General features: G+C 40.4%; 1 protein-coding gene and 1 long non-coding RNA gene across 5 annotated transcripts in view, besides 8 other annotated features; one reads left to right on the top strand and one right to left on the bottom strand.

The window, feature by feature from the left end:
- Window positions 1-9,461, bottom strand: part of CFAP91 (cilia and flagella associated protein 91) — a 64,081-nt gene extending 54,620 nt beyond the window's left edge. The window contains exons 1-5 of one of the 4 annotated variants that reach the window (NM_001320316.2): window positions 9,212-9,461; window positions 5,598-5,674; window positions 4,922-5,079; window positions 3,809-3,892; window positions 2,588-2,644 (exon numbers count right to left, since the gene is read on the bottom strand). In NM_001320316.2, coding sequence (NP_001307245.2) covers window positions 2,588-2,644; window positions 3,809-3,892; window positions 4,922-5,079; window positions 5,598-5,674; window positions 9,212-9,275 — 440 coding nt within the window. In that variant the 5' untranslated portion in view covers window positions 9,276-9,461. The remainder of the gene's footprint in view (window positions 1-2,587; window positions 2,645-3,808; window positions 3,893-4,921; window positions 5,080-5,597; window positions 5,675-9,211) is intronic. The other 3 variants (NM_033364.4, NM_001320317.2, NM_001320318.2) reach the window with 3 other exon arrangements.
- Window positions 9,143-9,202: an enhancer, noted in NCBI's record as "active region_20325". NCBI's record gives its function as "activates an Ori minimal core promoter by ATAC-STARR-seq in GM12878 lymphoblastoid cells {active_cell/tissue: GM12878}" and the evidence as "EXISTENCE:reporter gene assay evidence [ECO:0000049][PMID:35858748]".
- Window positions 9,253-9,302: an enhancer, noted in NCBI's record as "active region_20324". NCBI's record gives its function as "activates an Ori minimal core promoter by ATAC-STARR-seq in GM12878 lymphoblastoid cells {active_cell/tissue: GM12878}" and the evidence as "EXISTENCE:reporter gene assay evidence [ECO:0000049][PMID:35858748]".
- Window positions 9,296-9,975: an enhancer, noted in NCBI's record as "NANOG-H3K4me1 hESC enhancer chr3:119421355-119422034 (GRCh37/hg19 assembly coordinates)". NCBI's record gives its function as "activates a minimal SCP1, AML or CMV promoter by ChIP-STARR-seq in primed H9 embryonic stem cells {active_cell/tissue: H9 hESC(primed)}" and the evidence as "EXISTENCE:reporter gene assay evidence [ECO:0000049][PMID:30033119]".
- Window positions 9,413-9,582: a silencer, noted in NCBI's record as "silent region_14632". NCBI's record gives its function as "represses an Ori minimal core promoter by ATAC-STARR-seq in GM12878 lymphoblastoid cells {active_cell/tissue: GM12878}" and the evidence as "EXISTENCE:reporter gene assay evidence [ECO:0000049][PMID:35858748]".
- On the top strand, window positions 9,440-12,615 carry LOC105374064 (uncharacterized). Its single transcript, XR_924391.4, has 3 exons — window positions 9,440-9,987; window positions 11,062-11,291; window positions 12,066-12,615. It is a non-coding gene; the product is annotated as an uncharacterized LOC105374064 (long non-coding RNA).
- Window positions 10,642-11,841: an enhancer, noted in NCBI's record as "MED14-independent group 3 enhancer chr3:119419489-119420688 (GRCh37/hg19 assembly coordinates)". NCBI's record gives its function as "activates an origin of replication core promoter dependent on BRD2, BRD4, P300/CBP and CDK7 cofactors, and independent of MED14, by STARR-seq in HCT116 cells {active_cell/tissue: HCT116}" and the evidence as "EXISTENCE:reporter gene assay evidence [ECO:0000049][PMID:35650434]".
- Window positions 10,642-11,960: a biological region, named in NCBI's record as "MED14-independent group 3 enhancer GRCh37_chr3:119419489-119420688".
- Window positions 11,561-11,960: an enhancer, noted in NCBI's record as "active region_20323". NCBI's record gives its function as "activates an Ori minimal core promoter by ATAC-STARR-seq in GM12878 lymphoblastoid cells {active_cell/tissue: GM12878}" and the evidence as "EXISTENCE:reporter gene assay evidence [ECO:0000049][PMID:35858748]".
- Window positions 14,935-14,984: an enhancer, noted in NCBI's record as "active region_20322". NCBI's record gives its function as "activates an Ori minimal core promoter by ATAC-STARR-seq in GM12878 lymphoblastoid cells {active_cell/tissue: GM12878}" and the evidence as "EXISTENCE:reporter gene assay evidence [ECO:0000049][PMID:35858748]".

Below are 18,738 nucleotides of genomic sequence, written 5' to 3'. Positions count from 1 at the left end.
ACTGCACCATTATCTTGAATCAAGAGAATAAATTATTTTTTCTCAAATTAAATAATTACACATTTGAACCATGTGATCAAATGTGCTTAGTTTATAATAAGGCCTAATGAACTCCTCTGATGAAGGTTTCTGGCTTCGTATCTTTCCAGGTGGGTCAGGGAATAGAATGTAAAAGAGGAAAGCTACTTTGAACTCTTTCAGTAACTTAATACATGGTTTCTTAACTAACTTCTTAATTTCTCCAACCTATTTTTTCCCCATTTCTGTTGGCTTTAGGGGAGAGTAAAATATGAGTAACAAAGAGCAATGATCCCTTTCCCACCTCCTCCCCAACCTCAAACAGGACCCAAACTCAGAAAGGTCCCACATCTGCTCCATGCTGGCCTGACCCCTGCTGTGTCCTGGCTCCTGCCCTCAGGCTCACCTGCTCTGGCTTTAGTACTCTTATGGCAGCCAGGGCTGCTCTATGTGTTCTATCCAGGCCCTTTCCTCCTCCACCACTGCCCAGGCACCAGGAGCATGCACTGTCTGCCATACCTACAGTCTTCTAGATTTTCTCTCCCAGCCCCAACAGAGCTGTACAGAGAGGGGCTTCACAAACCTAGCAAATCCTGTTCTACTATGAACTTCATTGAATGTTTTAAAAGTATTAACTTTTTATTCTCTTTGAAAAGGTGCTTATGTAGAATCCAAAGGAAAGACTCCAACAGCTAGCCATGAAAAGGGTGTGGCTGGAGAAGGCCAGCTGGTCCCAAGACAATTCCATCCCTGATAACACAAGGTGGCATTATACTCACTGCTCAGAAACTCAAACATACTGGAATTCCAGAATTGACCTCACTCAGGAATACTGATTCATTCTTTAAAAAGTTCTAAGACAGATAGAGAGTAGCTACAATGTCAAATGTCATGGTTTAACTCTTGGATGGAATCTTTATCCCTTGTGTCACGGTTATTTAGGGAGGAGTTGGGGAGGTCATGGTGTTCATCACTGCAGGCCTCTGAACTCCCTAGAATTAGTTAACAACTTTTAGACTGAGGCAGTTATGACCTCCAAAGCAGGTAATTCAGTGAGCCTGATTTTAAAGAATTACCAGAAGGCTCTTTAGGGATCTACATAGCTCATAGCTCCCCTTTTGCTCATACAAAACATTTCATAGAATATAAGTCTACAGCTATTTCTGGATAAACTGGTACCCCAAGAAGTTGCTCTGTCTAGGGAGAGCAGGGAATCTGTACTCCATCTCTATAAAGAGCCAAAGCCATCCACACAGTCTTAAAAAAATGTCAAGGGTGAAGTAGAGTCATAACTAGCATTTATCTTGAGGATTACAGACATTTAATAACACATGTCCTGTTCATATGATGATATATATTATTAGGAATAACTATATTCTTTAAATGCACCCTTGAAAACCTAGTCCTGAATAAATTTGTATTCAGAAATATGAGACCTTAAAAAAGGTTTCTATTCCTGATAATTTCATGAATACCTTAGACTTTTTTCTCTTACAGAAATATTAAATTATATTAACAGAGGAAAGAGTGTAGCAAAAATTAGATTTTTAAAGGAATACTCTACCAGTCTGCTGTCTTGTCCTGAAACTAGAGACAAGAAATACACATTTGTCTCAGATTCAGCCCTTGTCCCTTACCTCCCTCTTACCTTGGTTCACTCCGTTGTGGGGCAGAAACCATGTTTTATTTATCTTTGTATACCACATTATCTGTGTAGATTAGATGGTTATTAAGTTATAAAATTCTAGCATTCAAAAAATATTACATGACTGATTTGTTTATTTAATGAAATGTTGAAGAACTGTCATCAAATAAGTGTTTCAGAGAAGCAAAAGAAGATATTTAAAGCACTTTTCAACTTTTTTAAACTACAACTGCTACAATTTGAATATGTGTCTGTGTCTTCTCCAAAATTCATGTTTAAACTTAGTCCCCATTGTCGTGGTATTAAGAGGTAAGGCTTTTAGGGGAAGTGATTAAGTCACGAGGACTCCACCCTCATCAATGGATTAGTGCCTTATAAAAGGATTACAGAGAACTAGCATAGGTCCTTTTTGGCCTTCCACCTTCCTCCACGTGAGGACACAGCATTTGCTTCTTCTGCCATGTGAAGACACAGCAAGAAGGCCCTCACCGACACTGACTGCCCATTGGACTGCCTTGCTTCTTGGACTGCCCAGCCTTCAGAACTTCAAGAAATAAATTTATTTTATTTATATCACCCAATCTGTTAATTTGTTATAGCAGCACAAATGGACAACTAACAGTAAGAAATACATTTTATATCATAATCCATCATATACATATAAACATATGCATATATTTTTCTGAAACAAAAGTTATAAACAAAAACCAACTTACCCTCCATATACTTGATGCTTTGGTTATTTTCTATTCTGTTTCATGTTTTAAAATGCTGCTCATGACACACTAGAAGATTTCATACCCTTCTAATGTTTTGTGATCCACAATTTGAAAAATAGTGATTTAGTGAACTATCTTCTAAGAAAAAATATGGAAGCAAACAATAAATAAACTGAAAAAGAGTTTTCAAATAATGGTTACTTACTTGGATACGGCATAAACAACATTGAATGGCATCTGCTGAAAAAATGGGAGAAAAGGCCTGGGAGGAAAAAGAAAACATAAATGTGTGGGACTTTTGCAATGAATGCACTCTAAGCTCTCTTCCAGCTCTAATATTTGTCCCTTAAAAATCAGTGAGCTTAAATATCCCATATATCAGTGTTACTCAAACTTCTGGACATAAAAAATCACTGCAGGGTGGGGAGGTTCTTGTCTAAAATGCAGATTCCCAGGTCTGGCCCATGAGATTCAGTACATATAGGGTAGAGCCAATGAATGTGCATTCTTAATAAACACTCCAGTATTTTCTCTTCAGATGGGAAACAAGTCACACTTGAAGAAGCCACACTTTAAGCCCTGTACTTGGGCTTCAGCTGGCCATTAGTTCCCAACAACTTCTCAAGTTCCTGAGACATTCTGGAATTCACAGTGATTTAATATGAAGCCTCCCCCTAAAAGTTAAGAATTGTACAGTTAACTGTACAGAATTGTATAGTTAACAGTTAAGAATTTAACATTTCTCTGGAAAAGTCAGTATCACAAAATTTCCATAAGGAGGTTGCTCATAAATAATAATGTGGATTAGAAATTTACTTTCTCAAGGAAGCTTATACAGATGTGGTATCAAGACTATTTTTTCTAACTCCAGTAGGATATATAAGGAAATCCCCATCTAATTTTAATTTGATTTGAGTATATGGTTATTACATAAGCATAAATCACAAATGAAATAAAATGAACCTTTTGGCCTTGTTGGTTTAGGCAAGATTCATACAAAGAGAACAAATGTTATCCCTTTGAACACAAGTTTCCCCTTCACTATGACTTCATGGTATCTCCAACTGTGTGTCGTTCATTTGATGACTTCATTTCAAATATTTTCAAATACATATTCTTAGTTGCAATCAGTATCTCTAAAGTCAGGCAGGCTTAGTTGGAACCCCAGATCTACCCCTTGCTAGCTTATATGACCTTGAGCAATCTATTTATCATCTCTCGGTCTCAGCTTCATTACTGGTAAAACAGGGATCATATATATCTTAGCCTACATTCCTGTTTTAACGATTAGATCATATGCATGTAAAGCACTTAAAATAGAGTCTGGCACGTTGTATGCACTGAAAAATGATAACTATTATTATTATCATAAAGAGGTTCTCTAATAATATTAGGGCTCAAATATTCATTAGTAATTATGTTCTACCTTTCAAAGTATTTATAGCGATTCTTTCCAGTAACTTCAGGATCTTCATAAACTTCTTTAGGCATCTGAAAAGAAGCGTCAGTTCTAAAATGAAGCAAGAAAACATTATTCAAGTCTAAAATATTTCCACATATAATTTCTATTTAATATTTCTATGTGTATAGAGTAGGACCTACACAGAGTATCTCATACTGAGAGTAAAGTCTTCCATAACCTGCATTTGACTGCCATACAACTTAGAGTATATATGATTCTTCCCCTGAGCCAGGAGACCAGAACCTAGTCAGACAGAGCAAGAGCTGAGAAAAGAGTGGATTTATGAAATCCCACATACAAAAATGCCCAATTTTAATTAAAAGCACACAAGAATAGCAAAATATTAAAAGACAATTTTTTTTTTTTTTTTTTTTGAGACAGAGTCTCGCTCTGTCACCCAGGCTGGAGTGCAGTGGTGCAATCTCCACCTCCTGGGTTCATGCCATTCTCCTGCCTCAGCCTCCCAAGTAGCTGGGACTACAGGCACCTGCCACCACACCCGGCTAACTTTTTGTATTTTTAGTAGAGACGGGGTTTCACCGTGTTAGCCAGGATGGTCTCAATCTCCTGACCTCATGATCCGCCTGCCTCGGCCTCCCAAAGTGCTGGGATTACAGGCGTGAGCCACTGTGCCTGGCCAAAAGACACTTTTTCTATGTCCAGGTTAAAAGGCTTTATAATTTTTAATTTACTAAATGTGAACTTGTAAGTAATTAAAAGAATAAAGAATTCGACTTATTCTTGAAGGTGCTTTGGCCCCAAGTTCCCAAAAAATATTTTAGATACTAGCAGAACAGAGCACTTTCAGTTGCTAAGTTGGATCCAAGCAACAACAAACTCAATCATCCCTACCTTTGGTGGCAAGTTGTCATTATATATATGACAAAATTATATATATATATATATCTCATATATACAATATATAATCAGGTTTGTTTGGTCAAAAGAGGTTTAGAAAGAAAATTTGGCCTAGGTATAACACCACAACTGAACATTTTAAAACCACACATGGTAAATGAATTTAAAGAAATGCTTTTAATGCATTTATTTTAGGCCCTGGAGCCACCCGACACTTACGTGGTGAGCTGCCGGAGGGCTTCTCTGTGTTTCTCCTTATGTCCCTTCCATTCCCGACTGATAAATGGTGGGACAGGATCTGACTTGCTCCAATATAGAGAATATCTTGGATAATGGATCAGGTTACTGAACATGGTTTTAAACCTGGGAACTTTTCTCTAATGTTAGAGAAGGGAGGCAAAGGACAAAATTATACCATCAGCTTTTCTAAAGCATTTTAATTACATTGTAAACTCTTTTTAAAAACATACAAAACAATGTATACAGCATAAGAAGAGGGGTTATTGCTGTATGCGTAAAATATCTTTAAATACATGCCCAAGAAACTGATGACAATGGCTGTTTATGTGGAGGGGGTAGGGGATAGGGCTAGAATTTACTTCACACTGTATATGCTTTTATACTACTTGAATTCTTTTAACATGGGCATATATTATTAAATTTATCCCATTGAAATAAATTAGCTTATGGGTTCTCTGTTCATTATTGGTGACTTAATCCTCACAATGAGCCACACGTATTAAGATGCTTTGCCCTCCAGTAATCTTGGCAAGGTAATTTCTGTGGAACCTAAAATCCAGTGAAGATTTGGTGATTAGTCAATCTGATCAATGCAGTCAGGCAAACTAGATGGTTCAGGTTCATCAGGTAGCCTTGGCTGATGAATTAGACATACCAGTCTGCTGCGAATCAGGGTAGCTTGGATATTTGCCTGTGTATGGTCTTTCTCACTTGACACAATAAACAATGGATCTGCAAAATAAACAATCAAGTAGCATAACAGATAGAACATATCTACCCCTAGGCTGAGAATAATGGCAAAGTAATGTAATCTCTTAATTGGAAAACAAATTTAAAAGTTTAAATATTGTCTGACTCTGCAGCAGCTCATGCTCTGTTGTGCATGTGGCCCTGTTACTCTACCACTTCTACCAGCAACAGTTGTCAAGATGTTTTTCTTTTCTGAGTATTCCAAGTCAGCTTACGGAAGTGGAATTCATAAAGAAAGTCTAGCATGTTTTCAAGTACTACACCCTGAACACACTTTCTTCTCTCCTATGAACAAAACTCCTTTTGAGCCTGGGTAACCCAAAAAATTCTTCAAGGGAAAGACCTTGTATATACGCACTATGCCAATTTGCAAGTGAAAGAAGCAATACATTTATACCATCTCCCATATTTGGTGCACTAGAAAGATGCAAACCACATGATATCTCAGAATTGGTGAACACGGTTAAAAAAAAAATCAGCTATCTTCAGAATTCACCCCTTAAGTTTGTAAGTTTGCTGATGATGGAACTGTTATTTTTACAAAGTTCAACAAAATATTGCCCTGCTATTATAAGTATCTGTTTATCAGGTATATCTTTAAAGTGATGAAGAATATTCATGATTGACTATACTGTACCACCCTTTAAAATCAACTGATTTGCCATTAAATTAACAAGCAGCCTTTGGATACACTTGATTTCCCAAGTAGACTTGTCTCTGGGGAGGCAAATACCCTGACCAGCTAGTCTAGATAACATGGTAACACATATTTCTCCATAGAAATTAATAATTTGGGAATTGTGATTTAGAAACAAGTCTCTTTTGAATTTGGATAATGTGTGTCAATTCCTAAAACCTAATAATTCATTAGTAACCCAACAAATACGATTTACTGAATGCAGACATTGGATATTCCCACCAAGGCTGAAAAGCTGCAAGAGGCTCAGGCTCTTTTTGCTCCTTCATTCAACACATGTTTATTGACTGGCTACTCTATCTAGGTGCTTAGAATACATCAACAAAACGACAAAAATCTTTGACTTCATGAGAGAGAGACAACAAACAACAAACATAATAAACTAGCAAATTACACATTAGAATTTGAGGGTTGTTATTTTTAAAAAAGAAGAAATCGGGTAAGGAAGATTGGGTTGCAATTTTAACTAGGGTGGTCGGGGCAGGCCCTTGAGAAGGTGGCATGTAAGGAGACTTGAAGGTGAGGGAGTTAGCTAGTTAGATATCTGAAGAACATTCTAGGATGGGAGCATGCCTGATACATCTGAAGAACAGCAAAGTCCCTAGGATGGGAACATGCCTGATACGTCTGAAGAATAGCAAAGAAACCAGGACAAATGAGGCAGAATGAAGGAGGGGAAAGAGAGTAGATAAGAGGCCAGAGAAGTAACTAGGGAACTAATCACATAGGGCTTCATAAGGAAGGGTAAAAGAACCTGGAAAGGTGTTCATCTTTGCACCACCACAGTTCTGTCAAGGTGGAAACCTGGCCCAAGGCCAGTCAATTCATTGGCCAGCCAACAACCAATCTTAAATTTCTAACTTAAATTTTCAGCTACAATACACAAAGACGCTATACAATTGGTGGTGAGCTTTAGGGCTAATTAGTCAAGAAGCACGCCACCCTAGTCCCTATCATAGTAAGAGAAATCCATACACAAGAGGCTTTCTGTCAGATGGAAGGAAGCAAGCATAGAGATGTGTTGCTTAATGATGGGGATACGTTCTTAGAAACGGGTTATGAGGTGAGCTTATCGTTGTGTAAATATCAGAGGGTACTTAACATAAACCTAGCTGGTATAGCCTACTCCACACCTAGGCTATATAGTATAGCCTATTGCTCCTAGGCTACAAACCCATACAGCATGTTATTGTACTGAATACTGTAGACAGTTGTAACACAATGGTATTTGTATATCTAAACACAGAAAAAGTGATGCATTGGGCTACAATGTTATGACAGCTACAATGTCACGAAGTAATTGGAGTTTTTCAACTTCATTATAATCTTATGGGACCATCCTTATACATGTAGTCCACTGTTGACCGAAATATCATTACTTGGGGCTTGATTATACATAGAAAGAAGGCTAGAGTTGCCAGATAAAATACAGGATGCCCAGTTAAATTTAAATTCAGATACACAATGAATAATTTTTTAGTATAAATGTGTTCCAAAATATTGCACAGGACAAAAATTTATACTAAAATATTATTCATTATCTGAAATTCAAGCTTAACGGTGCCTCTTGTATTTTTATTTGCTAAATGTGGCAACCCTAACAAGGTGAAAGGTCATAAGGTCAAAGAAAGAAAGCAGGAGAGCACAGCATCTTAGTTCTGATTTTCCCCATCCAGGTTCTCATCCGCCCTGGCTATACTTCGCTTCCTGTCCATGACTAGCGGCGAGATTGTTTTATAACAATCCAAACTTTTATTTGATCTACTCTGAGTGAATTTCTGTTCTTAGCAAGGGACATGGAAACATTTAGCAATTCCTCTGCAAAAGAGACACTTCGGCATCAAAGAAACAACCAGCTTAATAAATACTTTGGGGAGATGTTTGTCCTCCTTCTCAAATTACCCGTGAAAAAAAAACATGGTGATGTGTTTACAGGAGCTAACTTGATTTATTTCACAAAACCAAGAGTAAATACAGAAAAACACTGGCCAGAATATGTCAGCAATCATTACACAGCCTCTATCTAGGAATGTGTACCCTAGATTCCCACACAAAGGAGACTGGGATTCCCAGAGGCAACACCACATTGCTGAAAGCAATGCAAGGTTCAGGTGAAAAACCTGGGATTGCAGAGGGCAAAATTGGAAAAAATCATGCTTATAGCTGGTTACAGTTCTTGCCACGGCAAATTCAATAAACATTTATTTATTGAAGCGCCTAGTATATGTATCAGCACTAGAATAGGTGCTCAGAAGGCTACAAAAATGTGTAGAACAGGAACTTAAGGAACTCAAGGAGCGTGGAGAGAGAGAAAACATAAAATGGACAACCAAGCCGTTAAAATAAACTGGGGTTTTATTGGCCCAAGAGGAGCCAGCGGACCCAGTCTATAAGCAATGCTTTGACGCAGAAGTTAAAAAAAACAAACAACAACAACAACAAAAAACCTAAAAACAAGCATGGGATAAACTGGCACTTCTTTTCGCCCAACTTGGATTTGCCCAGAGAGTTGGAGAGAAAAGATCATTTTTGTAGGGCATTTTATGCAGGAACGTTGAGTGAATCTCCGAGTGTACAAATCGTTGCACACTTTCTGGGTACCAAAACGCCCGGAACAGGTTTCAGGAAAATCGCCCCCCGAAGCGGAGCGCACCCGCGCCTTTCGATGTACCCGAACCCCCGACCCCAACCTGAGTGCGGCCACCTGGAGGGCTCGGAGCTGCCCCCACCCGACCAAGGACAACCGTGGGCAAGAGGTCAGTCCAGAGGGTCGTGTTTCGTTCGCCATGCCCCTGGCCAGGTCCCACCATCTGGGAGCCCACCTGGCCTAGGAGGCGACGGACGCGGAGGAAGGTCTGCGGCGGTCCTTACCGTACAGAAAATCATACGCTCGATTGGAGGAGATGTGGCTCCCAGCCCGCGACCTCTCCCGGTACCGAGTTTGAGACACCTGCGGCTGGGCCTGGGGCTCCTCGATGGTTACTGCGTGGCTCATGGTGCCGCCTCTTTCCTCCCGCCAGCAAGGGACCAGCGGGTCAGGCCTGGCTACTGCGTGCACGTCGCTATGGTAACGGCCGCCGGCGCGCAGGGATAGGGGGCGGGGCAAGGAGGAGGGAGGAGGCCGCGGGGCGGGGCCGAAGAGGAGTGGAGAGAAGTGAAAGCAGGAGTGGCCAGGCCAGGGTCAGGAGGAGAGTGGAGGGGAAGATGAGAAGAGAGGGGAGGGGCAGGATGGGGGAGGAAAAGGCTGGCTTCCCTCTATACTCCAGAGCCAGCGGGGAGGCTGGGAGAAAGCTACTCTTAAGTCATTGATTTGCCAGTTACACCTCGTAGCCTCTCGGAAATCCCTGGGAGATCTCAGAACCTTCTAGAATAATTGGGTGCCTCCCCGCCCCTCCCCCCAGCCCTTTTCCAGGGGGCTTGTCCCGAGAGCTGCGGAATCCAGTCAGGTTCCTAAATGTTGCTCCTTAGCACGCTGTGAACTTTGCCCCACACTCATTAGCATCAGTGTTTAGGATGGGTTAGGACATCAGTAACTGTTGATCTGAGACTGCTGACCCTTTCTGAGTCCTGGGCATTAAATAACAGAAGATGATGTGGGGTAGGCACTGGCTCTGCTTTTGAAAACTATTTATAATGGAAAATTTTAAACATAAGCAAAAGTGATTCTACTTTTAATAACAAACCCTCAAGTAACCCATCCCTCAGAATCAACATTTAGCAACATTTTGCCAATCAAGTTTCAGTTTCCTTCCCCTCTTTTTTAAAGAAATCCTAGACATAATATTATTTTACCCTTAAATTAGTCTGCATCTCAAACTGACATAGATTTTAAAAATTTAACTACCGTTATCATATCTAACAAAATTAACAATAATTCCTTAGTACTATAAATAATTCCAATTTTCCTGTTTGAGTCCAAATTATCTTTTATAGTTGGTTTGTTCCAGTCAAGATCCAAAAAAAGTCCTCATGTTGCATTTTGGTATGTCTCTTAAGTCTTTTATCCTAGAGCAGTGAATTTCTAATCCTTTCAATAATTCTCTATTATTACCAGAGGTTCTTCTATAAAAGGAATCTTTTCATACCAACTCATTGGTTATCCTGAGATAACCAGGATAATCTCATAGAGGAAAGACTGGGTAAATGCTGGATTTGTTCTTTTTAATTATGAAATTTCAGAGACATGAGTTGGTGCCCTACCAAACTCCAGAGTTAACCACAAAGTTTTTGTTTGTTTGATATCATTATGAATGCATGCATTTTTTACAGATCTGATGTTTTAATCCGTTATGATCATTATTATTTATTACACTCAGATTATTAAAGCTAATGGCATGCCTTAGAGTTGGCTTCTTTGTCCTTTAATGTTGAGACGAGAAGTCTTCTTCCGATCAAAGGTTTTTCTCGATCGAAGGGTTCATGGTCTCACAGGCTTCAAGGAATGAAGCCGTGGACCACAGTGGCAAGTGTTACAGCTTCACTAGAGAAATGCGTGGACCCAAAGACTGTGCGGTGGCAAGATTTATTAAAGCCAAAGCAAAAGTAAAGGGAAAGCGAAAGTAAAGCTTCCACGTGGTGGAAGGGAACCTGGAAGGGTTGCCATTTCTGGTTTGGGTATCTTATGTTTATATCCCCTTATGACTCCTCCCCTTTTCCTTTTTCTGTCCCATAGGATTAGGTTATTTTCTATCCACTTGTGGGTTTGTAGCCGGACGAGCCACAGACAAGAACCGCTCAGACACCGAGTTATGGAAGGAAAGGGCTTTATTCAGCTGGGAGCATTGGCGGACTCACATCTTCGAAAACCGAGCTCCCGGAGTGAGCAATTCCTGTCCCTTTTAAGGGCATACAACTCTAAGAGGGTCTGCGTGAGTGGGTCGTGATCGATTGAGCAAGTAGTGGGTATGTGACTGGGAGCTGCATGCACTGGTAATCGGAACAGAACAGAATAGGACAGGGATTTTCACAATGCTTTTCCATACAATGTCTGGAATCTATAGATAACATATCGGTTAGGTCAGGGGTCAATCTGTAACTACCAGGCCCAGAGCACAGTGCTGGGCTGTCTGCCTGTGGATTTCATTTCTGCCTTTTTGTTTTAAATTCTTCTTTCTTTGGAGGCAGAAATTGGGCATAACACAATATGAGGGGTGGTCTCCTCTCTTAGGTTGGTGGGCCTGATTGGTTAAAAACATCAGGCTGCAGCTAGAGCTTAAACTCTCTATATGATTGGCTGAAGTTTCAATCCCTTAATTTGCAGCTGGGACTCACTTTGGCTTAGGGGAAAGTCCCCTTTGATTGGTTGAAGTTTCAATCCCTTAGCTTGCAGCTATGACTCATTTTGGCTTAGGGGAAAGTCCCCTTAGGGAAGTCCCTATTGAACCAGGAAGTCCAGCCAACTTAGCCACTTAGTCCCTCAATGTGATCCACAGACACTTCCTGAATACGCTTCCTGGCCTACTACTCTTTCTGCATATACTCCTGGTTTTAACTTATTGTCTCTACTCCTAAACTTCTTGGGGTTTTTGAAAACCAGCCATGTCCTAGGTCTGTCTGTGTACTTTCTTGTAAAATCCAGTTTTAGCAAAGAACCGTGCTATGTCAGTTTGGTAAGAATCCCCCATCCTAGATATCTGACTGGGGTCCTCATCCTTCGCTTTCGCTTTTCACCCCCAGGTGAAGTCTGATTACCCTGGCTGTCTTCAGCAAGAATCCTTTGAGATGAGTTTAACCAGAATTCTCTTTACCTCTGATATTTCCTCTTAGTAATTTTTCATCCACTGACCCTCAGCCTGCTCTTTGCTATAAATTTCTACTTGCTTATGCTATATTCGGAGTTGAACCCAATCCCTCCCCCAACTACAAGACCCTGTTGCAGTAATTCCTATATCTATTGCAATGGTCTTGAACGCACTCTGCCTGTCCATGCCTTAATAAGATCATTGAATAATTTTTTCTTTAACACCCCTCAACTAATTTAGGTACATTTCAACACTCACCTCTAACTTTGCCACTTCTATGCAGTTTCCTCATATCTTTCAAATACAGTGAGATATCATCCTTCCAATGCTGTAGTAGCACCAATAGCATTGACCACCTTGTATTAGTAATCAGTAATTGTTCACAACTCTGCTTCCCACAACTTTGAGTTCACTGAGGGCACAGCCCTTCACCTGGTCATTTTTGTATCTCTGAGGTATCTGGTACATGAAATCTTAATGAAATGATTACTAAATCCATCCCTTTGTTAAATAAATTTACTGAATGTCTACTATATAATAGGTGTTAAAGATTTTGAGATAATTTGTACAGCTCACTGGATGATAGAGAAAGCTGACACAGAAGCAAAGTACAATATAATAATGGTATAGTACTTTTCTGTCTGGGGTACAGCTACGTTCTCAGAGCCGCCCACTTTTCGTTTCTTCTTCTCAATGTTCCTCACTCCCACCTCCTTATCTTCTCACAGCTAGCTCCTCAACATATGACATCACCTAAAATGTTCTCTCTATACCGGAAAGGGGTCTGCATCCAGACCCCAAGAGAATGTTCTTGGATCTCACGCAAGACAGAATTCAGGGCGAGTCCATAAAGTGAAAACAAGTTTATTAAGAATGTAAAGGAATAAAACAATGGCTATTCCACAGACAGAGCACCCCCGAGGGCTCTGATTATTTCTTGATGATATGCTAAACAAGGTGTGGATTATCCATGCCTTCCCTTTTAGACCATACAGGGTAACTTCCTGACATGCCATGGCATTTGTAAACTGTCATGCTACTGTGGGAGTGTAACAGTGAGCAAAACCAGAGGTCACTCTCATGGCCATCTTGGTTTTGGTGGGTTTTAGCCAGCTTCTTTGCTGCAATCTGTTTTATCAGCAAGGTCTTTATGACCTGTATCTTGTGCTGACCTCCTGTCTCATACTGTGACTTAGAATGCCTAACCATCTGGAAATGTAGCCCAGTAGGTCTCAGCCTTATTTTACCTAGCCCCTACTCAAAATGGAGTTGCCCAGGTTTAAACGCCTCTGGCAATCTCATCAGAAAGACTTTTCCTCAGCCAGCCATGGTGACTTACGCCTGTAATCCCAGCACTTTGGGAGGCTGAGGCAGGCAGATCACCTGAGGCCAGGAGTTCAAGACCAGCCTGACCAACATGGTGAAACCCCGTCTCTACTAAAAATACAAAAAAATTAGCCAGGCGTGGTGGTAGGCGCCTGTAATCCCAGCTACTCAGGAGGCTGAGGCAGGAGAATTGCTTGAACCTGGGAGGCGGAGGTTGCAGTGAGCTGAGATGGCACCACTGCACTCTAGCCTGGGCAACAAGAGCAAGACTCTGTCTCAAAAAAAAAAGAAAGAAAAGAAGAAGAAGAAAGACTTCTTTTCCTCATTCTATCAGATAAACTATCTAAGGTAGTCAACAGCCAGCAGCCTCCATAAACACATCCGAAGACACTATTACCTTGATTTTTTTTATAGCACTGAAATGTTACTGATTTGCTTATTTATTATATCTCCTCCCACTAGAATGTAAGCTCTGTGAGACCAGAGACCTCAAATGTCCTGTTCACCCTGAATTCATCCATATCTCTTAGGCCAGTAAAACCACCTTTGCAAAAGATTATAACTGAGAAAATTATGACAGTGAGAAAAATCTGACATGGCTGAGTCCATCTTGACTCTAGCCTCACAGGTTGGCTGTCTTTGCTCATTCTGGGACATGAGCCAAGCTAACTTTGGGAGAAATTTAGAGTATACTTTTGTTTGTTTGTTTTTTGTTTTTGTTTTGAGATGGAGTCTTGCTCTGTTGCCCAGGCTGGAGTGCAGTGGCACAATCTTGGCTCACTGCAACCTCCACCTCCCAGATTCAAGTGATTCTCCTGCCTCAGCATCCTGAGTAGCTGGGATTACAGGTGCCCACCACCACACCCAGCTAATTTTTTGTATTTTTTAGTAGAGACAGGGTTTAGCCATGTTGGCCAGGCTGGTCTTGAACTCCTGATCTCAGGTGATCCACCTGCCTGGGCCTCCCAAAGTGCTGGGATTACAGGCGTGAGCCACCGTGCCTGGCCTAGTTTATAGTTTAAATGATAATAGCCCCTCCCAAAAACTAAACTATTTTTATAAAATGAGTGAAAGTCCACAAAGTTAGGATGAAAGGGGCCTGAATTATAAATAATTACCAGCCATTTTTTCGGAGGTCATAAGATTTGCAACTTCCCCAATTACTCTTGAAGATAACATCACTATTATAGAACCTAAGACTGGCCTTTTGAGGTATCTTTTTAGGCCTTTGCATTTCTGACAACCAGATGGCCCCACCTGGACCTGCCAACGAGTCCTGTCGTCCTCCACCTAGGAACTGACTCAGCCCAAGAGGACAGCTTCAATTCCCTATGGTGTCATCTCCAACCCAGCCAATTAGTATGCCATGCCCCCTACCATACCCCCCTTGCCCTCCACACTGTCTCCGAAAAACCCCTAACCTCCAAGCGTTTGGGGAGTAATAACAAAACTCCAGTCTCTTGTACAGCTGGCTCTGTGTGAATTAAACTCTTTTTCTATTGCAGTTCCCCTATCTTATAAACTGACTCTGTCTAGCCAGCGAGCAAGGAGAACTCACTGGGTAGTTACACCAGCACCTGGCACAAAGCAGGTGCTAAAGGAAAATACATTGGAATGAATTGAGCTACTGAATTATTCATGTATTTACCTGTCTGCCATCAGTGACTTTCACTTCTGTCTCACTGCCAATTTCATACCTTCACAATCTTTAAGATATTCCATTTCAAATGACCAAACATCTACTAGACAAACTCAATACATCCTCAGTAAAACTAACACTTCCGTACACTGCAGAAACTCTAATACAGTGATTAACTACGTGAACATTAGAATCAGATTTCCTAAGTTTGAATCTTTGTTCTAAAACAGTTCGTGTGATCTTCGGCATTTACTTAATATCCACATGCATCAGTTTCCAAAACACTAAAATGAGAACAAACAGCAATAATATCAGGGAAAATTATGGGAGGTAACACCTACAAAGGACTTAGAACACAGTCTGTTAGATAGCGAGTGTCCGATAAATGTTATAATACTACCTAGCTTCATAAATCTTCTCAATTTCTCCATTTCTGTCTTCGTGCATCATGAGCTTCCCATTTACCTAGAACTACATCTGATATTCATCTTAAAATATGTAAGAATACAAAGGGCAAATGTAGGGCTAAAGAATAGGCATGACTGTTAAAGATATAATTCATATACTTAAACACATATTTACATTTCACTACTAACTGAATAGCATTTAGTAGCTAAATGTAAGTAAACATGGATTTAAATATATAAATTTAGTAGCTAAATGCTATTCAGTTACATTTAGTAGCAAAATGTAACTACTATGTAACTACCAGTTACATAGTACTAGCAGTAGTATCAGCAGTATTAGTACTGTGTACTACTAATACATACTATTAGTTACTATGTAACTATTACATAGTAACATTTACTACTACATTACATGGTAGTTACATTTAGCTTCTAAATGCTATACATCAGCTTTTGCTACTGTTGGAAAACATCAGTTCAATCAGAAAAAACAAATGTTATTAGAAAACAAAATTTCCAGTTTAAGCTGGCTCATTAGGTGAAATTTTAAATTTACAGGTTAGTATATATATATATATATATAGAGAGAGAGAGAGAGCATTTAGGCCAGGTATGGTCGCTCATGCCTGTATTCCCAGTACTTTGGGAGGCTGAGGCAAGAGGATCACTTGAAGCCAGGAGTTTGAGACCACGCTGGGCAACATAGTGGGATCCTCTCTCTACAACAACAACAGCAACAAAATTAGCTGGGCGTGGTGTCATGCGCCTGTAGTCCTAGCTACTCAGTGGCTGAGGTGGGAGGATAGCTTGAGCCCAGGATTTTGAGGCTGCAGTGAGCATTTGATTTTGATCAGTGTTTTGCAACTTATTGGAGTTTGTTCTGAATTTTGGTTGATGGTCTCACAGCTATAGAAAGGAAGAAATTCTTCCCAACCGGAAGCTAAAGACAAAAATACACAGGCTTGATCTCATTTATTTTAGGTAGTTCACCAACTTTTATTCATTTGTGTGTATGTTCACACAGTCTCTTATTAGCTTTTTATCTTCTATCAATAACAAATATATAGAGAGATGAATCTCCAAGCAAAAGAGGGTTTATTTTGGAATAAAGAAATAGGGTTGCAATCTGGTACACATGCGTAGACCAGGGTGGTCTCTGATATGTGGTAGAACAAAAAAATGGTGAAGGTTTTATTGGGAAAGGAGAAAGAGTATGTGGGTTGTTATGAAAGAAAGCTCTTTGGTGCTTGCAACATGTTTTTTGCAGGAGCTGGTGAGCTCTGATTGGTCAGTGGCCACAATTTCTAGGTAAAACTAGTTTTAAAGTCATGGTGGCTGTTTCCTTGTAAAACTAGTCTTAAAACTGTAGCAGCTGTTTCGTTGAATTGGGCTTACTGGACAGTTTCTGGAGCAGGCTTTTGAGACCTGAGTTTTGTTTTCATTTTTGTTTTTTCTCTATGCCCCCCCACCCTGCACTGTAAATTTTAGTTGGGTATGACAGGTATGACTCCATTTAGATAATCAACTTTCACATTCTGCTCCCTGCCACCCCCCCACCTTTTTTTTTTTTTTTGAGACGGAGTCTTGCCCTGTTGGCCACTCTGGAGGGCAGTGGCGCCATCTCGGCACACTGCAACCTCTGCCTTCCAGCCTCCAGCAATTCTTGTGCCTCAGCCTCCCGAGTAGCTGGGATTACAGGCATGTGCAACCACTTCAGGCTAATTTTTGTATTTTTAGTAGAGACGGGGTTTCATCATGTTGGCCAGGCTGGTCTCGAACTCCTGACCTCAAATGATGCACCCGCCTCAGCCTCCCCAAAGTGCTGAGATTACAGACGTGAGCCCCCGCGCCCACATTTCCCTTTTTTGACTAAGATCTTTCCCTGAAAGCATCACTGGTCAACTATCCTTGAAGTTAGGCTTGATCTCCCTCAATGCCGGGATGTGCTTTGTCCTAGTTGTTCTGACCCCACACTAGAGGGAAAATAGGAGTCAATAGGAGTCAACATTAGAGGCCCAAGTCACATTTGGACAACAAAGGGGCCGGAAGGAAAGACCCTTACAGGATAGGTCTACCTGAGATTCAGCATTGGATTCCATCTTATCAGTTACACAGGCATTAGCAATCATCTGGAAGCACTGGACTAACATTTTCCTGTTGGGAAAGCAGGCTTTGCAAAGATTAGACAGGCAACAATAATGTAACTTAACTATCATAATGTCAAGAATAAGCAGCAATAGTATCATGAATTCAGTTTGAAAAATAGCTCTAAACCATGAATCTTATTTTGAAGGTAAGTCACTAAACAGATTGAAAAGTCCAAATGCATTGGGTGGAACTTTCTGGAGCCAGGTGGCATGTTCCGTTATCTTTCATAATTGTGTTTTCTACTTCCATGTGCAGCTAGTGTAAGCAATTGCACGAATACCACCTTGTTCAGCTAATAAGCAATCTAGAGCAATCCTGTTATCGAAAACCACTTTGGCAAGAAAATCTAAGGAAGTTTGGTGAGCTGCCATGGCTTTGGCTGTGGAGTCAGCTGGAGCTCCAATAGTTAGGGATAAATTTCTAACCATTATTTCTAAGGTACTAACCCCAATCCAGAGGAAGAAGGATCTAACAACTGAGGCCCATCCTGCTGAGTTTATGCCTCTAGGTAGAGTGTCTTTTTTGATATGATGGTGCAAGTTAGTAGATGTCAACCAATGTTCAGATTTTGCAAGTTTAAATTGAATGTAGAAATATCCCAGACCACATTGGTGCTTTATTTTCCATTTATTGAGACATGATGTTGCCCATGAATAAAGCTGACTGTAGGCTCCCCCACAGATGAAAATGTATCTCGATGTGTCACAACAGGTAATTCCACGTAGATGGAGTACCTTGTGCATTAACAGTTACTTGTAGGGAGGTGTCAACAGTAATTATCCAGGGTTCTATTATTGAATTATTGCACTGTTGGAAGTCATCAACAATTAGAGGAGGAAGGTCATAAATATTTTTATAAGCTGTCAAATTTCTTTTCTCTTGAATTCTATCAGCATGTTGTTTGCATAATCTTAATCTAACTTCAAGGCCTTTTTTGTAGATCTTAGGTAATGTTAGGGTGAAACAGGAAATCTGAATATGTGAGTCTAAAAGCTTGACCTTGTAAAAAGGACTAGATGTATAATTAGAACAGTTACATGGGGAATATCAGTAAAATCTGTTCTGAGGGCTGGGCACCGCTGGTCACA

Source organism: Homo sapiens, chromosome 3 (genome assembly GCF_000001405.40).
Source record: "Homo sapiens chromosome 3, GRCh38.p14 Primary Assembly".
NCBI classification, from domain to species: domain Eukaryota; kingdom Metazoa; phylum Chordata; class Mammalia; order Primates; family Hominidae; genus Homo; species Homo sapiens.
This window is presented reverse-complemented; position numbering and strand designations above follow the sequence as displayed.